The sequence below is a fragment of the Homo sapiens genome, chromosome 9, assembly GCF_000001405.40.
Source record: "Homo sapiens chromosome 9, GRCh38.p14 Primary Assembly".
Classification (NCBI taxonomy): Eukaryota; Metazoa; Chordata; class Mammalia; order Primates; family Hominidae; genus Homo; species Homo sapiens.
In genome coordinates, this window is record NC_000009.12 from 39,677,352 (window position 1) to 39,683,351 (window position 6,000).

The 6,000-nt window shown below is 45.5% G+C and overlaps 1 annotated feature.

Moving 5' to 3' along the window:
- Positions 1,596-2,221: an enhancer, noted in NCBI's record as "H3K4me1 hESC enhancer chr9:41823965-41824590 (GRCh37/hg19 assembly coordinates)". NCBI's record gives its function as "activates a minimal SCP1, AML or CMV promoter by ChIP-STARR-seq in naive H9 embryonic stem cells {active_cell/tissue: H9 hESC(naive)}" and the evidence as "EXISTENCE:reporter gene assay evidence [ECO:0000049][PMID:30033119]".

Below are 6,000 nucleotides of genomic sequence, written 5' to 3' on the forward strand. Positions count from 1 at the left end.
TGAGGGCCACTCACATTAAGAAGGACAATCTGCTTTAACTAGTCTACTGATTGCAATGTTAATCTCATCAGAAAACACCCTCATGGAAGTACCCAGAAGAATGTTTGATCAAATGTCTGTGCACCCCATGCCCAGTCAAGTAAATGCATAAAATCAACCATCACACCATGTATGAGCCTCACTTACCTCAGGTAAAAGGGCAAAATGATAAAAATAACCTTCCTAGGGAGTTATGAGAACCCAGTAAATCAACAGTTATGTATTTTACAATAGTACCTGGTATATGATAAGCACTATGTGTGGATATGTTGAACTAAATACATAAGTAAAACTGAGGAAAAGGAGCTGCCTCCCAGAGGTGTTCTCCCATCCCTGTTTGTCTCAGGGAATAACTAATTTAGTTTTTTCATCTCATTTAATGTTTGAGTTTCACATTCAGTCAATAATCTTATAAGCTATTTCTTCCCCTAAACATATTATTCTGTTCAGAAAAACTACTTGATTTCATTATAAGTAGAGTAAACAAACAAGCAAAAAAACAAAAAACCAAAAAACCCTTGTTGATTGGCATTCCAAGTGAGAAAAGCAAAAAAAAAAAAGCTGCTTGTTTTTAAAAATTAAAATATCATTGTATTGCCTATTGCCTTTTAGAAATTACATATCTCCAAATAATACAAGTGAAATGGGGAAAAATTAACATAGATTTTTTTCTCTATTATTTGGAATCGGATTTGCAGATGAGTTAACTATATTCTAAATACAGATATCACATAGGACGAAAAGGTTAAAAAAAGGTCTCTGTTCTTTTCTCCTTCCTTAAACATTATGCATCAAAATATTTACATATTTTCAAGATGTGTCTTATCAGATATTCAATCTGTATATATTCATAGTTTTAATGGACTTTCATGGATATCCTTTCCATAAGTGATGATTAAAAATCTCAGCTTAGGTGGTAGTCTGTTTTTACTACACAAGCAGAGCACCGAGTTTATTTAAATCTCCCAGGCACTTGGTCATGGATGTGGCTGAAGGTCTATGGCTCAGATGGGTTGTGTAATATCAAGGGACAGAATGGCCAATAAACACTACCTCTTCAACTGGATTGCCCAGGAGGACACGTTGGGACTCATCAAGGAAGCAACAAAACCCAGAGAGAAGAGAGAAGAGTGAGACAGGGCAGCTGCCCACCTGGGATTCGCATGGAGCCAAGGAAGGCTTCTCACCACAGGGAAAGTGTGAGTGGGCAAGAGCCCCCAGGAGCCCATACTCTTGCCATGGATCTCTGCAATCCTGGGCACAGGAGATCCCCTGACCCTCTCTCTCCAGGGCCTCCAGACTGACAGAGCGCTGTGCAGAGTCTGGGCAGAGCTGCCACTCAGGCACATATGGAGCCTCAAGGGCCTTGGGCTCCTGAGCATCCCAGGGTCAGCTGCCATAGCTCTGCCAGCAGGTGAGGCCAGGCCCTCTTGCACGCTCCCAAGATACATGCTGCTTTCACAGTGCTGAGGAGCAGACAGACTATAGGCCTTACCTTCGCCACACCTTGCCAGCCAAAGCCCACGGGCCCAGGTCCCCAGCGCAGCCAACACACCCCTGCCTGAACACTTAGGCTAGTAGTGACTCTGCACTTCCCTGGGCCAGAGCTCCCAGAGTTAACTGACAGTTCCGCCTTTTTGCTGCTGCTGCAGCCCCCACCCCTACTGCCCTGAGGCTGCAGAGGGAGTAAGTGATGAGCCTAAGGACTATCATGTGTCTCCAACGCAGTGCAGCTGCCATGCAGGAAAGCAGCCAGACTATTTCCCCTGTGGATTCCTGCCCCTGCTACTCCTCACTGTGCAGGGCCTCCCAACCTGGACCCCAGCACAGTCATCCTGCCCCCGCCTGAGCACTTCAGTCAGTGGTGGCACTGCTTTTATCTGGAGAGGAAATCCCAGAGACGACCCAAAGGCTCTCTACCATCTCAGCTGCGGGGATATTGCCCTTGCTGCCCTCGGGCTGGGGAAAGAACAAAGATCCTGACTGTTTTGCTGGTACCTCCAGCATGCTGCAGCTGTCCTACAGAGAGGAACCCAGTCTCTTTTCCCTGTGAACCCCTGACCCCCTGCTCTACACCAGGCAGGGCCCCTGGATTGGGTCTGCCATGCAGCCACCCCACCCCCAGCTGATCATTCCCATTGGCAGTAGCTTTATGTATCTCTGGGGTGGAGTTCTCAGAGGCAACTGACGATCCCTCTGACACCACTGCTACAGCGGTGCCTGCTATTGCTGCCACCAGGTTGGGAAAGAACAAAGAACCTGAGTGCCTTATTACACCTCCAGCATACCACAGGCACTCAGGTTCTTTGCTCTTTCCCAAAGAGGCCAGACTGTCTTCCCTGTAAGCCCCCACCCCCTGCTCACCACCAGGCAAGGCCTCCAACTTGGGTGTGTGACATAGCCACTCCACCCCGGGCTGATCATTTTGGTTAGCAGAGGCTCTGCATTTCTCTGGGTTGGAGCTCCAAGAGATAAGTGTAAGGCCCTCTAACATTGTCACTGCCAAGGTCCCTGCCCCTGCTGCCTGCAAGCTGGGGAGTGAACAAAGAGCCTGAGCTGAGCCCTCACTCATTCTATGAGGCCAGCATTATTCTGATACCAAAACCTGCCAGAGAAACAATGGAAAAAGAAAACTTCAGGCCAATATCCCTGATAAACATAGATGCAAAAATCCTCAACAAAAATCCAGCAGCACATCGAAAAGCTAATCTACTAAATCAAGTAGGCGTTATTCCTAGGATATAAGGTTGGTTCAACATACATAAATCCATAAATGTGATTCATTGCATAAGCAGAACTAAAAACAAAAACCACATGATCATCATAGAAAAGTCTTTCAATAACATTCAACATCTTTTCGTGTTTAAAAACCCTCAACAAACTAGGTATTGAAGGTACATAACTCAAAATAATAAGAGCCATCCGTGACAACTCACAGCCAGCATCATACTGAATGGGCAAAATCCAGAAACATTCCCCTTGAGAACTGGAACAAAACAAGGATACCCACTCTCATCACTCCTAGCCATTGTAGTACTGGAAGTCCTAGCAAGAGCAATCAGGTAAGAGAAGGAAATAAAAGGTGTCCAAATAGGAAAAGAGGAAGTCAAACTATCTCTGTTTGCAGATAATATGATTCTATACCTAGAAAATCCCAGTCTCTGACAAAAGGGTCCCAGCTCTGATAAACAACTTCAACAAAGTTCCAGGATAGAAAATCAATGTCCAAAATTCAGTAGCATTTCTATAAACCAATAACATCCAATCTGCTGGAATTTGCTGGAGGTCCACTCCAGACCCTGTTTGCCCAGGTATCACCAGCGGAGGCTGCCGGACAGCAAAGATTGCTGCCTGTTCCTTCCTCTGGAAGCTTTGTCCCAGAGGGGCACCCACCAGATGCCAACCAGAGCTCTCCTGTGTGAGGTGTCTGTCGACCCCTGCTGGGAGGTGTCTCCCAGTCAGGATGTGCAGGGGTCAGGGACTCACTTGAGAAGGCAGTGTGTCCCTTAGCAGGGCTTGAGCGCTGTGCTGGGAGATCCATTGCTCTCTTCAGAGCTGGCAGAGAGGAACGTTTAAGTCTGCTGAAGCTGTGCCTGCAGCTGCCCCTTCCCCCAGGTGCTCTGTCCCAGGGAGATGGGAGTTTTATCTATAAGCCCCTGACTAGGGCTGCTGCCTTTCTTTCAGAGATGCCCTTCCCAGAGAAGAGGAATCTAGAGAGGCAGTCTAGCTACAGTGGCTTTGCTGAGCTGCAGTGGGCTCCACCCAGTTCAAACTTCCTGGCAGCTTTGTTTACACTGTGAGGGGAAAACTGCCTACTCAAACCTCAGTGATGGCTTGAGTAGCCTTCCCCCCACCAAGCTCAAGCATCCCAGATCAACTTCAGACTGCTGTGCTGGCAGTGAAAATTTCAAGCCAGTGGATCTTAGCTTGCTGGGCTCTGTGGGGGTGGGATACTCTGAGCTAGAATACTTGGCTCCCTGGTTTCAGCCCCCTTTCCAGGGGAGTGAACGGTTCTGTTTTGCTGGCATTCTCAGGCACCAATGGGGTATGAAAAAACTCCTGCAGCTAGCTTGGTGTCTGTCCAAATGGCCACCCAGTTTTGTGCTTGAAACCCAGGGCCCTGGTGGTGCAGGCACCCGAGAGAATCTCCTGGTCTGCAGGTTGTGAAGACCATGGGAAAAGCATAGTACGTGGGCTGTAATGCACCATTCCTCATGGCACAGTCCCTCATGGCTTCCCTTGGCTAGGGGAGGGAGTTCCCCAACCCCTTGTACTTCGTGAGTGAGGTGATGCCCCACCCTACTTCAGCTCACCTTCCTTGGGCTGCACCCACTGTCTAACCAGTCCCAATGAGATGAGCTGGTTACCTCAGTTGGAAATGCAGAAATCACCCACCTTCTGCCTTCTGCGTTGATCTCACTGGGAGCTGCAGACCAGAGCTGTTCCTATTTGGCCACCTTGCCAGCCACCCTGACTTGTTTATTTTCGATGCTAACCTGTGGGTTACCAAATATTGGGAAATGGTGTGCTGAGAGGAGAATATAAAGACAAAGTGTGGATCCAGTGCAGAAAATTTTACAGCTTCCTGTGGAATAAGAAAATGTTGGAAGCTTAAGAAACTTTTAATTTACCTAATAAAGCCTTGTATTTTATAGAAGCATGAGGCCTACCCATTTTTGTTTACTCTATATTCATTCAACTACTTTTTTTTCTTTTATTATTATTATACTTTAAGTTTTAGGGTACATGTGCACAACGTGCAGGTTTGTTACATATGTATACATGTGCCATGTTGGTGTGCTGCACCCAGTAACTCATCATTTAGCATTAGGTATATCTCCTAATGCTATCCCTCCCCCATCCCCCAACCCCACAACAGTCCCCGGTGTGTGACGGTCCCCTTCCTGTGTCCATGTGTTTTCATTGTTCAGTTCCCACCTATGAGTAAGAACATGGGGTGTTTGTTTTTTTGTCCTTGCAACAGTTTGCTGAGAACAATGGTTTCCAGCTTCATCCATGTCCCTACAAAGGACATGAACTCATCATTTTTTATGGCTGCATAGTATTCCATGGTGTATATGTGCCACATTTTCTTAATCCAGTCTATCATTGTTGGACATTGGGTTGGTTCCAAGTCTTTGTTATTGTGAATAGTGCCGCAATAAACATACGTGTGTGTGTGTGTGTCTTTATAGCAGCATGATTTATAATCCTTTGGGTATATACCCAGTAATGGGATTGCTGGGTCAAATGGTATTTCTACTACTTTTTATTTTACTGTATATTCATTCAAAAAATGTGGTATGTGATGAGCCACAAAACTTAAACTTTTTCCTGAAAAAATGTAGGAAGTCATTTATTAAAGGCTTTTCAGCAGACTTGGATCAGATTTGGAGTTTATATCATTGCACATCAATATGAAGGAGGAAGCTAGAGGGAAGCATGTCTGGAGGCAGTAAGGACAGTTAACTATTTCCATAATAATTCAAATAAAAAGTGTTAAAGGCCTGGATTTAGGCCATTTCATGGGCAACGGAGAGAGAGGTGGATAGGAGAGCTGTGATAGAAATAGAATCCACAGAGCTAAGAATCTATTCCAACTACAGCCCATTTCCACCTTATAAATTTAAAGTCTAGACTGTGATACCACTCAAAGGCTGGTCTTCTTGAGTGAGTTTCCTACTTCACAGAAAATTATCAGAGTGTGTCTTTAAGAATCAAAATTTATTGACTGCCTTGAGCAATGAAAATCTTACATCAGAGGCAGAATCAAGCATGATCTCAATTGTGATGGTCAACCAGCTGGAGCTAGTAATTTTTTTGTTCTTTTCAGAAACTAATTGTGGTAGGTCCTTTGAACAGCTACTCCAAAAACCTTCACAGTGTTTGAAACAGGGTGTGGAATAGGATAAGGGTGGTGAGAAGAGGCTACTTGGAAGGTGTCTTTCCATTTTTGAGATT